Source organism: Homo sapiens, chromosome 15, assembly GCF_000001405.40.
Source record: "Homo sapiens chromosome 15, GRCh38.p14 Primary Assembly".
NCBI classification, from domain to species: Eukaryota; Metazoa; Chordata; class Mammalia; order Primates; family Hominidae; genus Homo; species Homo sapiens.
Window position 1 is genome coordinate 100,100,227 of NC_000015.10, and position 21,610 is coordinate 100,121,836.

At 49.1% G+C, this 21,610-nt stretch overlaps 1 protein-coding gene across 18 annotated transcripts in view, besides 2 other annotated features; it reads right to left on the reverse strand.

Moving 5' to 3' along the window:
• The window catches only part of ADAMTS17 (ADAM metallopeptidase with thrombospondin type 1 motif 17), a 370,539-nt gene that overhangs the window by 128,790 nt on the left and 220,139 nt on the right, over positions 1 to 21,610 (reverse strand). For 16 of the 18 annotated variants that reach the window (XR_001751118.2, XR_001751120.2, XR_001751119.2 and 13 more), the window contains 2 exons: positions 16,621 to 16,787; positions 8,763 to 8,890 (listed from right to left, as the gene is read on the reverse strand). Coding sequence is in view for 15 of the 18 variants with exons in the window: in NM_139057.4 (NP_620688.2) it covers positions 8,763 to 8,890; positions 16,621 to 16,787 (295 nt within the window). In the remaining 3 variants the exon portion in view is untranslated. Of the gene's footprint in view, positions 1 to 3,575; positions 4,067 to 8,762; positions 8,891 to 14,636; positions 15,885 to 16,620; positions 16,788 to 21,610 lie in introns of those variants that run through there. The other 2 variants (XM_017021981.2, XM_047432213.1) reach the window with 2 other exon arrangements.
• Positions 8,334 to 9,181: an enhancer, noted in NCBI's record as "H3K4me1 hESC enhancer chr15:100648765-100649612 (GRCh37/hg19 assembly coordinates)". NCBI's record gives its function as "activates a minimal SCP1, AML or CMV promoter by ChIP-STARR-seq in naive H9 embryonic stem cells {active_cell/tissue: H9 hESC(naive)}" and the evidence as "EXISTENCE:reporter gene assay evidence [ECO:0000049][PMID:30033119]".
• Positions 10,735 to 11,934: an enhancer, noted in NCBI's record as "CDK7 strongly-dependent group 2 enhancer chr15:100651166-100652365 (GRCh37/hg19 assembly coordinates)". NCBI's record gives its function as "activates an origin of replication core promoter dependent on BRD2, BRD4, P300/CBP, MED14 and CDK7 cofactors, with strong dependence on CDK7, by STARR-seq in HCT116 cells {active_cell/tissue: HCT116}" and the evidence as "EXISTENCE:reporter gene assay evidence [ECO:0000049][PMID:35650434]".

Here is a 21,610-nt window from a genome sequence, read left to right on the forward strand (position 1 = left end):
ATTCTCCTCCCAGCCCCTGGATGACTCCTCCCTCCTCTTGCTTCTTCGACTCCGTGAAAGTGGGTAGCTCCCCCGGGGCTCCCTGCTTTTTCCGATTTTTCATTTTCTTGGTAATTTCGCCTTCTCCTTATTTCAGCCATCATCCTCATGCAAAGAGCTCTTAAGCCCACTTCTCCCCTCACTCCACCCTGGCTCTCACTACTAAGAGTCTGCTGAGCAATCTCTCCACTTTCAATGCGACAGCTTCTCCTCCAAAGCTGCCTGACCTCTTAATTCTAGTTGGACACCCCCTGCCACTGTCTTGGAACTGACAGACAGGCATCCTAGCCTGAAACCTCCAAGCCATTTCTGACTCTTCTATTTTGGGATGTACCCAGTTAGTTGGTGAGCTTGGGTTTTTTGTGCCCTGAAAACCTCTGTTGCCTACTTCTCCTCCATGTTCAGCTCCACTCCCTAGTTTACACCCTCCTTAATCAGGACATGAACTATGGGAGCATTTTTCTCCTGCCTGCTGCCAGACTAATCTCCACACAAAAAGAGAGATAAGATCTGTGGCCAAAGATCCCCACTGCCTATCAGAAACGTCCGCACATATGAATTTAAGACCCTCCATGATCTCATTCCAGCTGCTCACCAACTCAGCCTGCCTTCCTCCCCCACTCCAGATGCACAGTGAATCCAACCCCCTCCAGCCCACTCTTGTAAGCCCTCCCCCGGAATGACCCCTCAGCCAGGTGGGCAACCAGAATAGCCTCTTAACTTGTTTCCTGGGATCTACTTGAGTCAGTTATCCATAGCTAAGATCGCTTCACTCCTCTGCATCAATTCTGCCTGGGCCCTGGCTCCTTTGTGCCAGCCTCCGCCCTCGTCTGTTGCTGGAATGCACCCATCTCCCTCTTGCTTCCCTCTGCCTGGAGCTCTCTGCCCCCAACTCTCTGCCAGGCTGGCTCTTCCTCAAAGGCTGTCTCCTCTAAGAGAAATGCCATGCCACCTGCTCACTGTCCTCCTCAGCCACAGTCCCCCGCTGGGTCTCTCTATGGCACCATTTTCTTCTTCACACATACCAATCTCTGGAATGATCACGTTTGTGAGCTGACATGGCCTGTCTGTATGTTGGACAGGGACAGGGATCCTCTTGGTCCTGCTCCCTAATGAAAGCCCAGCACACAATACAGTGTGCAGCACTCGGAATGTGATCAACAAATACCTGATGCAGGAATAAACGAAATTCCACCCTATGGGTTTTCTGCTATGTCTAAGTGGAACCTCTTCTTGGTTGTTAAATCACGCCTTCGCCTCTGGTCGTTGGGTTTCCAAGTGAGTATGTGTCATCTCCCTAACGGACCATAAGCACATAGAGGACTGTGTCTGAGAATTCTTTGTATTCTTGGCCTTCCCCCATCCTCTGACACACACAGTGGCTGGTGTGGTATTAAGCACATGTGTGTTCAGTAAGAGCATACAAATGATGACCTCTTATCAAGCTGGGGAGTCTAGTTTTCTCATATTTGAATTGGGACTTCCTCGTACAAGTTTTGATGGTACTTGTTTTTTCTGGCTGGAATAAGCAGTACTTGCTTTCTTCAACTTATTAGCTATCTTCCAACTACTGCCTCATCCCATCTCTTCGGTTGGAGGGAGGCCACCGACTTCTTGAATGACTTTTAAGCGAGTGCAGATTTTAGGCCAGTTGCGCAGCCGTGACTCCAGGATTTACTGGGTTCCTGGGTGAGTGCCACCAGGGCCTGTAGTGCCCATCTTCCTCTTTCTTGACTTCATTCTTGTTTTGCTAAACTACATGTAACTTCTGCAGAACGCATGCATGGAAAATAGAATTTCTGAGTTCTTCTGTGTCTCAAAATTAGTTTCCCTGCATGCTTGCTTGATAGTTTGGCTGCACGGAGAACTCCATAATTATCTCAATTTTCTGCCAGGGTCAGTTTTTTCTGTTTGTTTTTCTTGGTCTTTCTCCTTCATGCTGCTGGTTTTCTTCAAATAGCAGATGATGTCTGGTTGCCCACTCGTATTTGAGAACAAGCAACAGGAAGCCCGACCGAAGGAGATCTACATTTGAGGGCCGACCGAAGGGGATCTACATTTGAGGGCCGACCGAAGGGGATCTACATTTGAGGGCCAACCGAAGGGGATCTACATTTGAGGGCCGACCGAAGGGGATCTACATTTGAGGGCCGACCGAAGGGGATCTACATTTGAGGGCCGACCAAAGGGGATCTACATTTGAGGGCCAACTGAAGGGGATCTACATTTGAGGGCCGACCGAAGGGGATCTACATTTGAGGGCCGACCGAAGGGGATCTACATTTGAAGGCCGACCGAAGGGGCTCTACATTTGAAGGCCTACTGAAGGAGATCTACATTTGAAGGCCGACTGAAAGGGATCCACATTTGAAGCTGGGCACTGCTGCATGGTAGGTTTCCTTTCGTAACTAGTGCGAGGGAAATTGACCTCTAACCCCAACGCAGAAGGCTGGGCACCGTCCTCAGCACAGAGACCTCCCTGCCTGCTCTGGGTTTCCTCAAACAGTTCATTCCATGACCCTGGAAAGCAGCTCCCTAACATTTTACTTGACAGCCCGTCAAGCTCTGAGTGTGGGATCAGACACCATGAGCATGCCGATGCACCCTCGGACTTGTTTTCAGCCCACTCTTCACTTCCGACCCTCCATTCTCAAGCCCACAGCTCTCGGTTTGGGCTGTCTTTTCAGTGGCGACTCTCCGCCTCTTCCAGCTCTGGCCTCTGCTGCTTTGTTCCTGCATGACACTTCCACCCACTTCTGTCATCCAGAAAGAGGTGGGATCTTTCACCTGGAAGCTCCTGCTTCCCTTCACTGTTTGTGCTGGTTTAGTGGAGTCCCGCATGGAAGAGGCAGGAACATGTGGCTTGGTCTGCTGGCTTCAACCAGAAGTTGTCATGGGAGGTTAATCAGAAAAAAGGGGTGCAGGGAATGACCTTCACGTTTCAGGCACTGCTATCCATAAAGGTTTGGCACCCACAGTAACACACGTTAGAGATGCCAGCTGCAGGGTCACGGTGCAGGGAAGGGCAGCATGTGGGGAGCATCGTGAAGATGCAAACCCAGGCTTAAGTGCCAGGCACGCTTTCCTGCAGGCTTGTTACCTCTGCTTTACCTGGGGGTCCTCTGAGACCAGGGTCTCTTTGAATTCTCCTAAACTTCCCCAGTAATTCTACCTGCCTCACAGATGATCTTTGGACAGGAAATAGGAGGCCAATAAATTCTTGGCAATGAAAGTCGTCCATTGAAATGGGCTCCAGATTCCAGAACCACTGAAATCCTAAGAACACATAATCCATCCATCCAGCCACTCTTTTTTTTTCTTTTCCTTTTTTGAGATGGAGTCTCTCTCTGTCGCCCAGGCTAGAGTGCACTGGTGCGATCTTGGCTCACTGCAACCTCCACTGCCCGGGTTCAAGCAATTCTCCTGCCTCAGCCTCCTTAGCTGGAATTATGGGCATGCACTACCATGCCCGGCTAATTTTTGTATTTTTGGTAGAGACGGGGTTTCACCATATCGGCCAGGCTGGTCTCGAACTCCTGACCTTAGATAATCCACCTACCTTGGCCTCTCAAAGTGTTGGGATTATAGGCATGAGCCACTGCACCTGACCCTTCTTTCAATATGCAATCAAAGGCTTTCCTCTGGGCCAGTGTATAGGGAAGCACAGGTTAATGAGACGTACTTCCTTCACTGAAGAAGGTCACAGGCCCTGAAGGTGTTTTGGCTTGGTATTCATCAAGCCCAGGATATGTATACAAATTATGGTACCAAGGAAGTAGGAACTGAATTGGAGAATGTTGGCTACAGGTGTGCACAAACCAGTAAGGCAAGCATAGCTGGGTCTCAGGTACATCTGGGTCTGTCCATCATCCAATGGGCAAAGCCGCGCGTCAGCTGGACTCGCTCATTGCATGTCAGCAGCTCCAGATGCAGTTGTGTATCAGAGGCTTATTAACCCGGTGTCTCTCCTTCTGGAGGCCAACAGTAGGAATCATTAATGATGGGACTCTTGATTTATAGGAGCTTGCTGAAAAATACACAATGTTTCTGTTACTTTCCCCAATTCCCTCCCAATTTTATGAGTGCTGTTAAGTTTAATTTCAGCATGTTAAATAATTTGTGACTCACTGAAATGAAACTTAATTCAGTCCTCATAAAAACAGAATAAAATGGCATTTCCATGTTTCATGTTATGGTTTGAATCAGCCTGCTATTTGGAGTGCAGTGGAATCTACTCAAAATGCCATTTTGAAGCCTCTCATCCCCTACCAACTAGTTACTATGTTCCTCGACATTTCCCAGAATGCCGTCTGCTACCCCAAAATAGCACAATTTATAGCTGAAGGGGAAAGAGAGGAAAACGCTAGTAGGCAAACCACGGCAATATTTCTGTGAGTGCTGTCTCATATAAAATGTGGGTGATTTGTATGTTTAATCGGTTGTAATTAGACAATTATTATCAATGAATAGATACAGACTTTCCACTCATTAGGCCCCTGAGGTTTTAACATTACAATTACTATTATTTTCCTTAACCATTTCTTTCTTGCTATACACATTCACAAATGCCACAGGAATCCAGAATGTTTCATCTTGACAATTACTGCAACAAGACATAAGTACTATATTTGAATTGAATTTGTGATCTTATTTAAGAATGCCTGATTTTTATAAAAGTTCATTAACTACGACTAACAATTTGGAGTTTTGTGAGCATCGATTTAAGAGTGGGCTGAGGTTAACCTTTACAGTATCTGTCTGAAGAAAGTACTGTTAGACAAATAGCAGATGGCTTTTTAACTTCCTTCAGAAAGCAAGTTGTTTCTCACAGTTTTAACCTGGAGAAGTACATGCAGGTAGGTGCTGTTGCCACCCACCAGGATGGTGGCTCTTTTGTAAAGACTGGTGGTCTGCCTGGAGGCAGCGGGTTACCAGGGTGCAGCCACCCGGGAGATGGTGCTTTCGAGAATTGGTAGGCAGGGTCTCTGCAGTGGCAGGGTGAGGCTCCCAAGGAGCAAAAGACCACCATCGAGCATCATGAAAGGTGCCTCCATCTGCACCTGCGCACCCTGGTGACTCTACTTGGTTAATGTGAGGTGCAGTGCAGGCACCAACCAATCCCTGCAATGATGATGACAATGGTGGAGGCACTGGAAATAGACAGGCTGGTCCTGGGGATGGAGTGACATCTGGGGATGGAGTGGCATCTGGGAACAGGAAGGCGTGCATCCCAATGTCACTCCCATCACATCTGCAATGGACTGGATGTTTGTGTCTTCTAGAGTTCATAAATTGAACCGTTCATACCAACGTGATAGTATTTGGGAGTGAAGCCTCTGGGAGGTGATTAGGTCAAGAGGGGGTAGAGCTCATGAATGTGCTGGTGCCTTTGTAAGAAGAGGCTAGAGAGCTAGCTAGCTCTCTTATTTTTATTTTTTTTGAGATGGAGTCTTACTCTGTCGCCCAGGCTGGAGTGCAATGGTGCAATCTCGGCTCACTGCATCCTCCACTTCCCAGGTTCAAGCGATTCTCCTGCTTTAGCCTCCTGAGTAGCTGGGATTACAGGCACCCATCACCACATCCAGCTAATTTTTTTGTATTTTTAGTACAGATGGAGTTTCACCATGTTAGCTGGGCTGGTCCTGGAACTCCTGACCTCCAGTGATCTGCCCGCCTTGGCCTCCCAAAGATCTGGGATTATAGGCGTGTGCCACCACACCTGGCCTCAAGAAAATGATTTTTTTTTTTCAAGACATGGTCTCACTCTGTCACGTAGGCTGGAGTGCAGTGGCAAAATCTCGATTCACTGCAAACTCTGCCTCTCAGGCTCAAGTGATCCTCCCACCTCAGCCTCTGGAGTAGCTGGAACTACAGGCCTCCACCACCATGCCTGGATACTAGCTCTCTTTATGCCATGGGAGGACACAGAGTGGCAGCAGTCTACAGCATGAAAGTGGGCCTTCACCAGAACCCATCTATGCCAGCCCCTGGATGTTGGATTTCCAGCCTCCAGAACGTTGAGAAATAAGTCTGTTGCTTATAAGCTACCCAGTCTAGGGTATTCGTTAGAGCAGCCTGAGTTGACTAAGACGACACCCAAGTGCAGAACAGGGTTGGGCTCAATGCTATCCTCATGACCACAGACTTAGGCCATTCAAATGTCTGGAGCAGCATTTTCTCTTTGATTCTACGACTAAAGGTTTCATTGTCATAGTATGGAACATCCTCTAGTTGAAAAGGCTGTGATTAAAACCAAGATCATGGATGGAGCCCATTGGCACAGATCGCACAGAGCATAAATTATGTCCAGCCAGTAACACAGACCCCACTGGCTAGACAATTTTAGGATTCTTAGAAATGCCTCCCCATTGGCAAGAACGCTGCAGAAGATGCTGGCAGAGGCTGGGGATGGCTCGGCTGGTGCTGCTCTAAAGGGTGTAAGAACTCTAACTTGGGAGGAACGTTAAGTCGTTGGGCAGGATGGTCTGTGGAAGTGTGTAATTTGGGTCGGACACCAGCCCTGCACTTGGCTGGTTAGAAGTTTACCAAGAACCATCGGCGATGCCTCATTTCAGTAACAATGATAAGGGCTTTGTTCATACTGCCCGACGGGCAGGGCCTTGGACATTCTTTGTTACAAGAAAGCAGCCAGGAGGGGCCAGCTCAACCACTCATCACTGCCTCCCTCCCCGTGAGGTTGCTGTGCCAAGACTCTTGGGCACCAGGCGCTTATCACCCACATTTATCTGTATTTGATAACAAAGCCAGGCAGTGCCAAAGGAGTCTGGGTCTTGTCAAGCTTTTCCCTGAAAAATCCCAGTTTCAGACTGATTTGGCCTTAGCAGGAAAAAGCATCTGTTTGGGTGGAAACGGTTTGCTGCAGCAATCACCCTGGAAGCTGTCTTTGTGTCTGTCTTTATGCCTTGCCTCCTCTTGTTCTGTTTGTCACGCACACTGAAATGTTGATGCCTATGCACTCTGCTAGGCACTGAGCAAGCAAAGAGCATAAGCAGATCTGCTGTCCGCATGGGCAAGTGGACCTGACGCCTGGAAGCCAGCATCTGGCTCACCACAGTTCTGTGAGGGCAACGCATGGTGATCCTGACACTGATCTGCCTGCTCCAGACATCAGGAGCTGCCATTGTCACTAGCTCTTGGTGGGCTCCCCTGTGGAGGACACAGTTGAGGGAACGTGGTCATAGGATGACAGGAACGCGTATGTGTGGCTGAGGGCAGAGCGCTCCCTGGGTGCTGTGGTCTGAATGTTTGTGTCTCCTCAAATCCACATGTTGAATCACCAGCCCTCAAGGTGATGGTGTTAGGAGGTGGATGTTTTGCGAGGTGACTGGGTCATGAGGGCAGAACTCTCATGAACAGGATCAGGGCCCCCATAAAAGAGACTCACAAGAGAGCTCACCAGCCCCTTCCACTATGCGAGGACACAGCAAGAAACACTGTCTATGATAAGCGACCCCTCATCAGATCCCAAATCTGCCTGTGCCTCAAGGCCTCAATCTTGGACTTCCCAGCTTCCAGAACTGTGAGTAATAAAGGTCAGTTGTTCATAAGCTGCCTGGTCTATGGTGTATCGTTACAGGTGCCCAAGCTGACTAAGATGCTGGGGCTCTCTCACAACATGCCCAGCTTGACCCGAGTCACCAGGGAGTATGGTACCTGTGGCATAAGCGAGGCACAGAAAATACAAAGCTTCGACACCCACTCCCCATCCCAGCTGCTGCGCCACCTCAGGAGGTGCTCGTTCTGAGGGACAAAATGGGAGCATGGAGTCACCTCTGCTACCCCAGGCTAGGAGCCCCACCTGGGGAGGGTAAGGGCTACAGGTGGCCCTCAGCTTGGGCAGGGTTAATGCAGGTGGAGGGTAAGCTTCCTTCCTTCTTCTCGCATTCCTTTTTTTTTTCCCCCCGAGACGGAGTCTTGCTTTGTTGCCCAGGCTGGAAGGCAGTGGCGTGATCTCAGCTCACCGCAACCTCCGTCTCCCAGGTTCAAGCAATTCTCCTGCCTCAGCCTCCCGAGTAGCTGGGATTACAAGCGCATGCCACCATGCCCGGCTAATTTATGTTTGTATTTTTAGTAGAGACTGAGTTTCACCCTGTTGGCCAGGCTGGTCTTGAACTCCTGGTCTTATGATCTTCCTGCCTCGGCCTCCCAAAGTGCTGGGATTATAGGCATGAGCCACCGCACCCGGCCTCTCTTTCTTCACTTAAATGGTTTTTATCACTGTTCTAACCAGTCATGGCCATCCAGCCCTCAATGCCTTTGGGACTATATACCAGTAGATGGATGCTCCCTGACAGCTGGGCGCACCTATCTGCCTGGCGTGACCTGCACAGGCATTGGCTCAGTTCTGCCGTCTCTTCTGCACTAAATGGGGCCTGGCTTGTGCAGACATCCTTTAGGCGCATCTTAGTACCCTGCCTACCTTCGTCTTGGTCATGATGTCTAAAGCAATTTTCAAAGTCTTAGAATACGTTGTGCCTGTTCTTTCCACCTCCACTCCTTGTTGGCCTAGCACTCAGTCATTACTGAGCTAGGGTTGGTGCACCAGGCAACACTGGCGGCAGGAGGCGGCATCACTGGGTGCCTTCCTAAGAAAATCCACTCCCCTAGGCCTCCTGAGACCTCTGCTCTACCCCACTCCCTGTCTGGGGAGAGTGAGTCTCCTCTCCAAAGCCCCACCAAGGACCGAAGGAGAAGTACGTCACCTGGCACTTGCCGTGCACGCAGAGATCAGTCTCGTAGGGCCCGCAGGGTGTACCGTCCAGGACCCTGTCGGCCACCAGCAGTGGGGACTCCTTCCCGAGGGGCGAGCAGTAGAGTTCACATGGCTTATCTGAGGAGGGAAAGGTTGGAGGACGTTGACACGGGAAGGTGTGCGTGGGCCATGCAGGGCACAGGTACATGTGGGCAGAGGGAAACCCTGAGGAAGAGAGGTCCGCACAGGTCAGTAAAGGTGCATGAGCTCAGGTACGCGCTCCAGGAAGCGGAAAAAGACCCACAGCCACAGGGGAAGACAGTGCAGGACTGAGCTCTGTGGGGATGCCTTCTCTCATCTCTCTATCCTTTGCAATGATACAGGAAGTTTCCTTTTCCTTAAGGCATCAACTATACCCGGTGAACAAAGGAAGAGTTGTGTGCTAATCTCTACGTTGAATACACATCAAGGGGGAGCTGGAGCCACTCTTATAGCGAGGGTGTGAAGGGAGGGGGAGGGGAAGGGGAACGAGAATGCCTCTGAGTGAGGGCAGCGGCCCCAAGGGTCACCATGACAGTAGCTTTGGTAAGAGCTTCAGTGCTCCCCTAGCTGCTGGGTGACAGTCGAGCTGTGCTTTGGGGTACGGAGATCCCAGAAGAAACTGAGTGGGAGTAAGGTACAAAGGGGACATGTGCGCCGCTAGGACAACTTATAAGAGCCGCATGTGCACCCAGGCAGGATGGAAACCTGGGTTTCCCCTACTCCTAAAAACACATGACCTCCCAGAACGCGCCCAGCTCCCCAGCCTTTGCCCGGTGTGCGCTCTCTGCCTGGAAATCCCTCGCAGCACTTTGCCTTCTACTGCCCTGGAAGCTTCCACCCTGCAGCTCTTCCCTCACGCCAGCTCTGAGGTGGGGCAGGAGCAGCATCTCCACATGCACTGTGCACACACCTCCATTAAAGCAACAGCATCTGCCTGTTGTCCTAGAATTGTTTGGGCACCTCCCATATCTGAAGGGATTTATTATAAGGCAGGTCCCATCGCTAAAAGAGTGTGAAAGGGATGACTTTTATTCATCTTCAGATTGAAGTAATGCTGGGTCTGTGAACTCTTAGAGGGCAGGGGACTTAAGCTTTCATTTTTTTGTCCCCACAGTGGGCCCAGGACCTGGCTCACAGAAAGACTCAGTATATATATATATATTTATATACTGATATATATATATCAGTATATATATATTTTTATATATTTATATAAATATATATATATATAAATACATATATACATATATATATATTTTTTTGAGACAGAGTCTCACTCTGTTGCCCAGGCTAGAGTGCAGTGGCGCGATCTCAGCTCAATGCAAACTCCGCCTCCCAGGTTCATGCCATTCTCCTGCCTCAGCCTCCCGAGTAGCTGGGACTACAGGCACCCGCCACCATGCCTGGCTAATTTTTTGTATTTTCAGTAGAGACACCGTTTCACCGTGTTAGCCAGGGTGGTCTCGATCTCCTGACCTCGTGACTTGCCTGCCTCGGCCTCCCAAAGTGCTGGGATTATAGAAGTGAGCCACCGCGCCCCGCAAGACTCAGTATATATTTTTGAACAAACAGGTTGAATAGATTTTGTTCTTCTGTAAGTAATTGAGCAAGAGGAATGCATTTTTCTCCTCTCTCTCTCTGTCACCTCACCCTAATGCCATCTATGTGGTTACTTTGCACAGGGCGAGAGTCAAAGACCTTCATCCTCCTTGCTGCTCTTTGTCTTCTCCACCAGGCCTCCTCAGTGGGTCCTTCTGGTGGCCCCGGGCCAGCAAGAGCAGGGACAGAGAGAGGCTTCTGAGCCGACCTGGCCTCGGACGACCTTGGCATCCCACCTGCAGAGTTCCTGTCAGAGCAGACGTGCTGTCTCGTGACTGGAGGACTAAACCACCCCTGTGTTCAGTCACCTTCCAGGCCTCCTGTCCCACGAAGTCTGCTTCTCACCAGGCTCCACAGGAAATCTTGTCTTACAGCGCTGGAAAGAAGCTCCAGGAGTGTGCTGGAAATGCTTCCCTCAGTTCTTCCGGTTAGCTGTGGGGGTAAACATCTGCCCACGAGAAGACTGGAGATCTGAAGCCTCCCAGGTAAGGGGAGTAATGATGCCTCACCATGCATCCATTCACCAAGCAGGGACTGACCCCTCCCTCACACAAGGCACTCTGGGGGGCACTTCCGGGGAAAGACAGACACGTGATGTTTGCTTCTGAAGGCCCCAGTGGGCTCATGGACAAGTGTACAGCAAACCCAGGGTGAGGCCACATGTTTCAGGTCTGATGGGAGCTGTCGGAGGGCTGGGTGCAGCCTGGAAGGAATGACTCATTTCCCGTGCTGGCAGGCTAGGGGCAGCTGTCCTTCCACTTGCAGGGAAGGACCTCAGGAGGTGGCTGGTGGAAGGAGAACTCTGGAAGATGGAGACATATACTGAGATTAGCTCGAGGGAGCTTGCTTGACAGGGTCACTGAGGTACCCTCTGGAGCCCTGAGGTTCCCCAAGCATCTTGTGGAGCTGGTGGGAGAAATACAGCAACACAGCCCCCAGCGTGGAGTCTACTCCACACACTGGGCTGCCTCTACTGTTTCGTTGAAAGCAAGGGTCCCTTGGCTGAAGTGGTTTGAAACTGGATTTTAATTACCTTTAGACTGAAATGTTGACTCAGTACTGGGAGTAATTGAGCTTTGAGGTGATTTGCTCAACAGCTGCAGTAGTAAGGATGATGAAATCATAAACGATATTTACTACTACTGTGTTCCAGGCAGCATGCTAAGTAGTTATCTATTCGTTTCAGGTGGGTGCTGTCACTGTTCCATTATACAGACATGCATACAGGGCTCACAGGAAGTGCTCGACTGTCTTCAGTTGGCAGGGTCACGCCCCGCCTCTTGGCTCCAGCCTGCTTCTTTTTCCATCATCGCAATTTCCTCTCTAAACTGAGAACTCCTAGGGCCAAAATTACCAAGAGCAAAGTGGCATTGCTAAAAACAAACCACCAGTTTCATGCATGTTTCTGGCTTCCGAGTGTATCCTCTGATTCGAGTAGAAGTGGAAGTGGGACTTGGGTAGAAAAGCAGAGGCTGTTTTGAGGCAAGTTAGAAAGGCCAGACTTCAAAGGGATGAAGGCTGTTTATCTGGACTCTTTAGGGTGAGCAGAGAAATGCGGACTCTGCAAAGCAGGAAGGCCAACCTCAGCTGGAGGGATGCTGGCCACGAGCCTTGCACGAAGGAACGCTCAGCTCCACCTGCATGCAGCTCTCACCTGCAGACACTGCCCTCCACAGCTTGGACAGCTGGGGACACTCAGGCTCCAGAACAGAGTCTAGAGGTGGGGCTTCCCTTCCCTGCTCAGCCAGAACTCTCCATTTGTCCGTCTCCCCTTTGAGGCCTCTGCTTGGAATTCAGGGCACCCACATCTCTAGCAAACTATATGGCATGATCTCCCAAAGGATAAGGTTTTTAAAATGTGAGGAGGAGGCTCAGAATCCCTCAAAATTCTCTATTTCCCTCCAGGTTGCCTTAGGTGGGAGATTAATCTCCAGGAACAAGACCCCAGTAAATAACATGAGGTGGTGGGATTCAGCTTTGCACCCAGCATCAACACTCTTACATCCCCAACAGCACAGAAGATCACATTTTCTTAAAAGTTATACAACCACACACTTGAAGGAAGGAAGCTTGGAACGTGCCACCTGCATGGCTGGTGTGTGCTGAGATGGAATTCTGACTGAAGCTGCAAAGCCTGGGGCCGGTCTGGCTTCTTGCTGGCCTGCCTGGCATCAGGACTTCTGCTTGGCTGGAGGTGGTCACAGGCAGGGCAGGGAAGATGGGCTCAGAAGCTTGGGAACCACGTGGTCACATGTGCCCGCTGGAGGTTTGGAACATTCCTCTGCAGTGAAGAAGACACTCGTGGCTCTCAGCAGTCTCTCTGCTCTCTCTCTAGGCCAGCAGTTAGAAGGTCTTAGTATGGTGGGGACATTGCTTTGAGTTCATCACAGCACTCATCCAAGTTCTCCCTGGTCCTCTGTGGGGGACACATGCTGACGAGGCTACTCAGACTCCTGTTCCCAAAGCTGCCCAACCCGGCCCCCTCATCAGTCCCCGGCGGACAGGCCTCTGCGGATTTTACCAGCAGTGAGCACCTGCCCATAGCTGGCCCATTCCTCGTCTCTTTCCTGGGAACTCGGTACTGAAATTCAGATGCAGAGAGGTCATGTCTGCTCGTGGTTGACGGATCCCAAAGAAGGCTACACTCCCTTATATGTAATTCAGAAATTCAAAAAGCTCTGAAAACTCTAAGTGTTCTCTTCCATTTGTGGCAAACACATTTGGCAGCAAAACCAGCCTGGACTGATGTGAGCTCTAGGTAGTGTCAGTATCCCCCTTAATGAGGTCACCTGGTGGACAGACCCACGTGACTGACTATGGGGTGCTCTCCTGGAGCCCACTAGCAATACAAATATTTGGTTGATGCACTGTCATTACCTTTTGAACACATAAAATGCTCTGAAGCTTGAACTGTATGTGGCCCAAAAGGATCTGGGTAAAGGATGTGGATTTACATAAGAGGTGCCGTGGGCTACCCTACCAGCTTCCACACGGACAAGTTCTGAGAAAGCCAGTCTGCAGTGGGTGCACGGGGTTGTGACTACCAAATGCAAGCTTCGGAGACCACAGAGCTAAGGTCCTGACATCTTCAGCTTTGCAACAGCTTCCCTCCTTTTCATTAAGCGGCCCCAGCTGGCTTGGCGGAGCTGTCGTCAGAGAGTCCTAACCATCACGCCCCTCATCCCCACGGAGGCTCAGACCTGGGGGGTTCTGCCGTGCCAGGCAGGAGGCGCTGGGAACGCACAGCCACGTCCAGACGCAGCCTTTGCCAAGCTCTCCGACACTTCAGTGGGCCCATGGCCTGCTGGCCTGGGCAAGGAGGACTGAACTCTTGAAGGTTTCCACTTCAATGAGATTCCATGAGAAAAGCAGAAATGGGGTGGGTTTGGCAGTGGGCCATCTCAATGGGTTTCTGTCTAAAGGCTTTTCCATTTAGAAATATTTTCTAAGGAGGATCTTTGTCTTCTTTTGGAGGTGGGATGGATTTGTGGTCCTGAATCCTCCCTTGGAAAATCTACCTCTGCAAGAATTCTTTCTTCTTTTTTTTTTTTTTTTTAAAAAAAGGAAGAGGAAAAAAAAGAACAAAAATACAGCTTCCCTTCTTTTGAACTGTGCGTCACTCGCCAAAGAATTCCGCAGCGATAGCACTGCTATGAATAGGGCAGTCATAATGGGCTTCAGAAGAGCCCGGAGCCCAACCACAGGAAACGTTCCTATCACGGCTCAGCTAGAACTGTGCCTCTTATAAATGGAGTTTTCAGAGGAACACTTATAATCCGTATTCCCCTCCTGCCTTCTAAATTGGCCATCTATTATTTTGTTTTTACCCTTGATGAAGTGCTCCTTTTAAAAATGCTGGCTTCTGTTGGTATTTGAGAGAAATGAAACTGCAGATGCAAGAAGTCAGGGCGATTCTACCCCAGAGCAGGACGTGTCGAGCTACCTGTGCAAAGCCCCGAGCGTGGGGTCTCTCCTTCAAACGCGAGATACTTACTGCCTGGTAGCTGTCCTCATCAAACAGGGCTGCTCTTTTCAGATCAAAGGCGGTGGCACTCTAGTGACAATAACTTAGGACTTAGGCAGAGAGAAACAGAAAGGAAGTGGGTGAAAGGTCACATTCCCAATCCAAGTGGCCCCCCAGAGAGCCACACCGCAAGGCTTCCTGGGTGGAGGATCTGGGCAGACTCAAGTCCCAACCACTGTGGTGATAAGGCAACGAAACAGTCCAGCCATCCAAAAGCGGTCAGAAGGAAAACAGAAGTTTAATCTGGACTTGGAGAAATCTGTGGAAACACAGACATTTCAGTGGGATTTCTGTGCTGAATAAATAAGACGGGAGCATTGAAAACTGAAGCAGGCAACCAAGGAAAGAACAACTTGGGGCACAAAGTTGAGTTGAAATTTGAAGAGCGTGAGTCTGTCCCAGACCTGACCTCTTCTTGCTCCTGCAAAGTGGGAGTGGGCAGTAAAGAGGTCTAAAAGTATCTTTATCTGGCATGCCGGGGAAAGCTGAAGGTTCGGATTCAAGGCTGCTTCTCATGAGAACCAAATGGCAGCTCTCTCGCTTCCAATTAGGGGTCTGCGTGTGCCTGACACAGCGGGAAGCCTCCTGCCACCTCCTGCATCCGACTCACAGCCAGGCGGAGGGAGGCAAAGGCCGGTGTGCAACTGCACGGCTCCAGCCGCACACGTTCCTTCTAGGAGGGCAGGTCTCCCCTCTCCCTCAACTGCAGGGAAAATTCAGGGTGCAAAGGCCGTGTTTCTCTTGAATTCTGCTGGCGAGCTGATGGCGCAGCTACATTACACGGTCCCCAAAGGTGGTGTTCTTTTTAAAAAAGGACAATGATGGGGCTCCCCAATACTTTCAAATGAGTCCTCATCTGAGTGGGCTGGTGTTATCTGCTACAATTTAGAGCATCACATGTTGCTCTACGAGTCAGCTCAAAGAGGATGGGTCAGGCTGTTAGACTAAAAGCTGCAGATCTGAGGCTGCTATTCCAGAGATGCCCGGGCCCACCTTCACACAGCTACGCACACCTGAACTTGCGACAGCAGAAGGCCAAATGCAGATTTCAAAGGCTCTTCCCATCACAGGGAAGAAACATAAGACCTGGCATCAGAACTTCATTCTTCTGCAAAACACTTTTGAGGCTGTCTAAAAATCAGGCCCAGTTTCCTGAGTTCTTCTTCAAGCTCCCTCACTCCACACCCATGAAGTCATGCGGTCTGTCTTCTTCAAGTGTTGGCAGCCAGGCAATAGCTGCTTATTTTCTGTGAGTCAACTGCTCTGGAAGTGAGGTCAGCTCCCGCCCTGGCCTCTTGTCAGCTGCAGGTGCTTAGAGGTGTCCTGTAACCTTATTCCCTCTCATCTTCTGCACAGCTTGTTTTGCGTATTAAATGAGACGATGTATGTAGAGCTAACTTGTGTCTTGTACATGACATACCGATAAACGGGTTCATATGTCATCATTATAGCACAAAGTCTTGTTTCCTAAAGAAGAACAGTTTTAGGTAAAAAAAAAAAAAAAAAAAAAAAAAACCCAACAACCCTGAAGCGGGTCCTGGGGTGTCCTCATCTATTAAGGACATTAATTAAGCAGACATTACAAATGTATACATGACACACCACCTAGAACTTCATCAGCTACTGGAAATGCTTGCAGTGGCCCGATGGGGCAGAGCCTCTTGATTCAGGAGAAAGCTCTTGGAAAGAAAATGGGACCTGTGCTTATTATCATCTTTCCTAAGTTGCAAACTATTCTCAAAATGTTCCCCAACATCCTAGCCAAGGATTAAGAGCCAATTCAAAATAAACCAAGAGAAGCAATACAGGGATCATCCACATTGGAAAGCCAGAGAGCAGCCGCACCAGCACACTGGGATGCCCCTGTAAAGCTCCTTGGTCTCCTCAGCTCGTCCTGGGTCCCTCCACACATGGCGCCAGGGGCAGGATGCCAGCACAGCCTCCTCGCTACAAATGGGGTTGCAGGATGCACCTGGCCTGCTGCCTGCTTCAACAGCTGCAGTTGGAACATCTCAGAGAGCTGGGTCATTCAAGGTCAACCCCACAACTTACAAAGTTGGGCCGCAGCTGAGCTGGGCAGAGGACTGGAGTGTCTTGCTGGGTTGGTTTGGGAAAGGGATGCCCCCCGGCTTCCCTAGGTGGTTTTTATATTCTTAGGGGAGGACAGGAGGCTGCCATGCAAGGACATGCCATATGCCTTTACCGTCAACCACCACGGCTGTCAGCAGGCCTTTCTTCTTGGGGCTCAGCCGGTCGTGTGCCTGGCACTGCTGGTCCCGGAAGCTGGGCAGACCCTTGGGGCAGGGCAGGTTCTCGCAGACCGCATGTTCTACACTGGCACCCGGGCAGTGTGTGCCTCCAGGCCCAGGGCTAGAAGGAAGAAGAAGGTCTGTGTTAACCAGGTGGTGCGACCAAAGGGCAGGAGAGCTGTTTCCGTCTCTCTTGCCAGGGGGAGGAGAGGAAGGGGGCAGGGCAAGGTTTCCAAAGCCACCCCCTCTCTGCTGTTACAGACCAAATGCCCACAATCCCAGACCCACACTGCCGGCATGTTTAAGTGAGCCCTCTGAAAGGTGCATGAGAGAACTGCAAATCAAGGTCATATGGAAAAAGAAGGCAGTGAGTATGAGTTTGGCAAGATCCACACATTGCGTCCTTCATCTGAACTTAAAATTTGGCCATGGGTAACACTGAAAACCCAAGGGACACTTCTGGAGAGGGTGTGTGTGTGTTCTGCAGGGGTCTTCTCTGAAATGAAGACCTTTAAATGCCCCCCCAGGTATACTCTGGAGGTTAAGTTTCAGGATGAGTAAATACATAGCTCATTTACTTTATAATGAAAAGAATAAGAACAACGAGTTCACTGCTCATGGGCTTTGACTGGAGACCAGTTAGATCCGGGCTGTGCTACCTTTACCTGGGCAGGTGTGAGACCACACATGGTCAATGCTATGGTCTTGGATCCTAGATGCTCTGTGCTGAGGCTGGGGTTTTAAGCCATTCCGGAGTTCCAGACTGTGTTCACTGGCCAAGTCCACATGTGTGAGGGCCTGGCTGGCAAAGCATGGCTCTGCCCTGTGCTTCTGCAAGGCCCCAGGGTGTCCTTGACAACCTGGGCAACCTCAGTGGTTCCATTCGTTTCCATGATGCCAAGGTCATCATGATGGAATAAGATTTCTTATCCACTCCCACCCCTCGCACTTTTTATTGAAATTCAGTCTATGAAAGAAAGAAAAGGGCACACATCCAAACAGTTCTGCTCAATGAATTTCCACAAATCACACACACCTGTTGGCCAAATGTCATCTGGACACATTAGCCATTTCGTGTTGTGTATTTCTTTTTCCTCCTTTGCCATTTTCCATGTTCAGAGAGCAAGACCACCCTGTGATTGGTGCTTTAGGGGAGAGATGTAACAGCAGAAGAGGGCAGAAGCCTTTGGGCTTTTGTGTCATAAAGGTCTACTCCAGGGGTTGAAAACATGTTTCTGTGAAGGGCCAGATAGTGAATATTTTTGGTTTTGTGGGCCAAATAGTCTCCAACCACTCAACTGCTACTGTGGCACAAAAGCAGCTAGAGATAACATGTAAAAGAACAGGCATGGCTGTGTCCCAATAAAACTTTATAAACACCTGGTGGTAAGCCAGATTTGGCCCACGGGCCTTACTTTTGCCAACTCCTGGTCTACCCAGTTGTCTTGGAGAAAATATCCTGAGGAGAAAGGCCCCTTTCATACTTCTGTCTACCTCATATACACTAGAAAACAGTTCCCTCCCCCAGGAGAAGAAGAGATCTAGAGAGATTAAACCTACTGGTGGCCCCATAGTGGGGCCTTGAGCTCTGCTGGTCTTCCAGTTAGGCAATGGCTAACCCTCTAGAAGGTTTATGGAATCTGAGAACAGAGGGGCCTTGTGTTCTGCTTCCTGTCTAGAAGGCAAGGGAGGCATCAGTTCCAGAGAAATGACTGCATGGTGTGTTTAGGCAGAAGGGGCCTCGGACAGCCTCCCCAGGCAGCCTGGGCCAGGTACCATTGGCAGACAGAATGAATCAAATCCTGTGCCACGGAACACGGCATGGAAGGAGCACAGAAGGGCTGGCCCCCAAAAGCCACATGGATCAGTAGGAGAAACATCACCCTGGCAATAAGTGAGTCCCCACGAGCGGGCACCGGAGAAGGAACGAGTGAGGCAGCAGATGCAGCATGGCACAACGTTTCAAGCTGAACTGGGCCCCCACAAAACTCTATGCAGAAGTCCTAACCTCTAGTGCCTCAGAGTGCAACCCGATTTGGAAACAGGGTCAACAGGGCACAGACAAAATTAGTTAAAATGAGGCTATACTAGAGTAGGTTGAGCCCCTAATCCAATATGAAGTGTCCTTATGAAAAGGGGACATCTGGAGATACACACACACACACACACAGAGACAGGCAGAGAGACACACAAAGAATGCCAAACATTGTCAGCAAGCCACCAGAAGCTGAGAGAGAGGCCTGGAACAGATTCTCCCTCACAGTGCTCAGGAGAAACCAACCCTGTCGACACCCTGATTTGGACTTCCAGCCTCCAGGACTGTACGACAATAACTTCTGGTTGTTGAAGCCGCCTGGTTGGGGGTCCTTTGTTATGGCAGCCCCAGGAAACTAAGGAACCGGACGACACAAGGACCAGATGCTCCTCGCGGAACTTACATGCAGACTAAGGGAAAGCAGGGCAGACATGAAGTCATGAGGAACAAAACACGGACTGGAAGGGAGTAAAGAAATACAAATTAGGTGGGTTCGTAGAAGAATAAAGAAAGCTACCTTTCCTACACACTTGAGTATAGACTCTGATTGGTGAACATCATGTGATTAACTTCCTGAGTGGTTATCGAGCTTCCTTTTACGCTTCAGTTTCCTCGCCTTTCCAGTAGCTGATTTCTCCAGTTTTACATCTGCCTAACCCGCACACAACAATTACCTTCACCTCTGACAGTGAGGAGGCGGAGAGGAGATATGATGTGATATGATGTAAGAGAACTGGATCCAGAAGCAAGTGGGTCTGGAGGCGGAGCACATGGGATACCACACGTGCCTTGGCACACCTCCCTCCACATCTGCTTCTGCTGCTGCTTCTCCCTGACAAATTCTCCAACAGGCAGTCTCTGTGTGGCCCCTTATCTAGCTCACAGGCCCCGTAATCCCCACTTCCCACCTCCTAACCCTCTGTCCATCTTTGAGGCCACCTCCACCCTATTTTTCCTTCCTACCTGGAGCATCTCCACATCTTGTTTGGGTATCTGCTATGCTGCTTACCACTAACCTTATGAAATGGAGGGCTGTCTTCCTCCTGTTCCTCTTATCTGGAAGGATCTTATCTCCCAAATATCTGGGTTCTGTGTTCTCAGCAGAGAGCATTGCACAGGAGGGTCTCCAATAAGCACTAGACTGACGTGAACTATATTATCAGAGCTGATCTTAAAATGACCAACAGAGGGAATGATGTCGGGAAGAGAGCTGAGGAGGAAGCACCAGGAATCCAGTTCTCCATCCAGACAATAATCACACTGGCAAAAACTACCTGAAGAAACTATTTTGAAACTCTGCAGTCTACTTGAAGGCTTGCAGCTTCCAGGGGAAAGCCAGGTCAATTTCAGTTAATTTTGCTCAATTTCAGCCTTTAGTGTGGTAACAGTTACTGCCCATCCTTCACCCACAAGGCAGGCAGCTATGTCTGTGCTCCTGTTGCAACTTTCTGGAGTCAGGGTGAGCAGTAAGAACCTTATCTTCCAAATATCTGGTTTCTGTGTTCTGACTGTTGATTGCTACTTTCAGTTGTTAAGGTGCAGATGCAGAAGATGGCTGACATTGCTGTAACCTCCACCAGGTGAAGTGGCTTCCAGGGGATTTCCCTCCTTTTTTCTTTTAGGAGCCAGACATTTAGGCACAAAGACATTTAAAAGCAACTTCATCTAGGAGAACTTAGAAAGCCACCAGCAATGGCTAGGAAAAGATACAGGTTCAAAAAAGACCTGATAAGACCTTCAGCTTTCACTTCAGGTTAATTCCTGATCCAGAGATACCACTAAATCATAAAACAAAACAAAACCAAACACCCTGGGGAAGGGGTACAATCTATTTCTAGAGTTACTGCATTCTAAGATTTGAATGTCTAGTTTTTAATGAAAACATCACAAGGCATACAAAGAAACAGAAAGTATGGTTCATTCAAAAGAACAAAATGTATTGGCGGAGCCTGTCCCTGAGGAAACCCAGATGTTGGCCTTGCTAGACAAATACTTTAAAACGACTGTCTTAAAAATGCTCAGGAACCAAATGAAGGCACAGATAAAGACAGGAAGACAATCTATAAACATAATGAGAATATCAATAAAGATATGGAAGTTAAGAAAACAAAGATAAATTTTGGAATTGAAAAGTATAAGAACTGAAATGAAAAATCCACCAGTTCAGAGAAGATTTTAGCAGGCAGAAGAAAGAATTAGCAAACTTGAATATAGGACAATTGAAATTGCTGAGTCTGAGAAGTAAAAAGAAAAAAATGTAGAAAAGTAAGCAGAGATATCTGTGGGACACCATCGAGTGGATCAATGTAGGTACTAAGCGAGTCTCAGGAGAAAAAAGAGAGAAAGGGTTAAGAGATTATTTGAAGAAATAATGGCTGAAGCTTACCAAATGTAAAGAAAGATGTGACTCTATAAATCCAAGAAGCTCGAGAAATTCCAAGTAGGATACAAGGACCCATACTAAGACACATTGTAATTAAACTGCCAAAAGACAAAGAGAGAATCTTGAAAGCACCAAGAGAGAAGTGACATATCCCATACAAGGGATCTTCAACAAGATTATTAGCCAGTTTCTCACCAGAAACCTTGAAGGCCAAAAAGAAGTGTGCTTATATACTTAAAGTGCCTAAGAACAGAACCGTCAAGCAAGAACTCTATATCCATGTAACTGTCCCTCAAAAATCAAGGTGAAAATTAACACATTCCCAGATAAACAAAAAATGGAGAAAGTTTGTTACCACTAGACCTGCATTACAATAAATGCTAAAGGGAGTCCTTCAAGTTCAAATGAAAGGATACTAGATGTAACCTGAATGCAGGAGGAACAGGCTTTTCTCCCTGGTCCTGGTATGTGGCTTCTCTCAGCATGCTTCTTCAGTGGCCTGTGATGCATTCCACCTCCCTGTGGA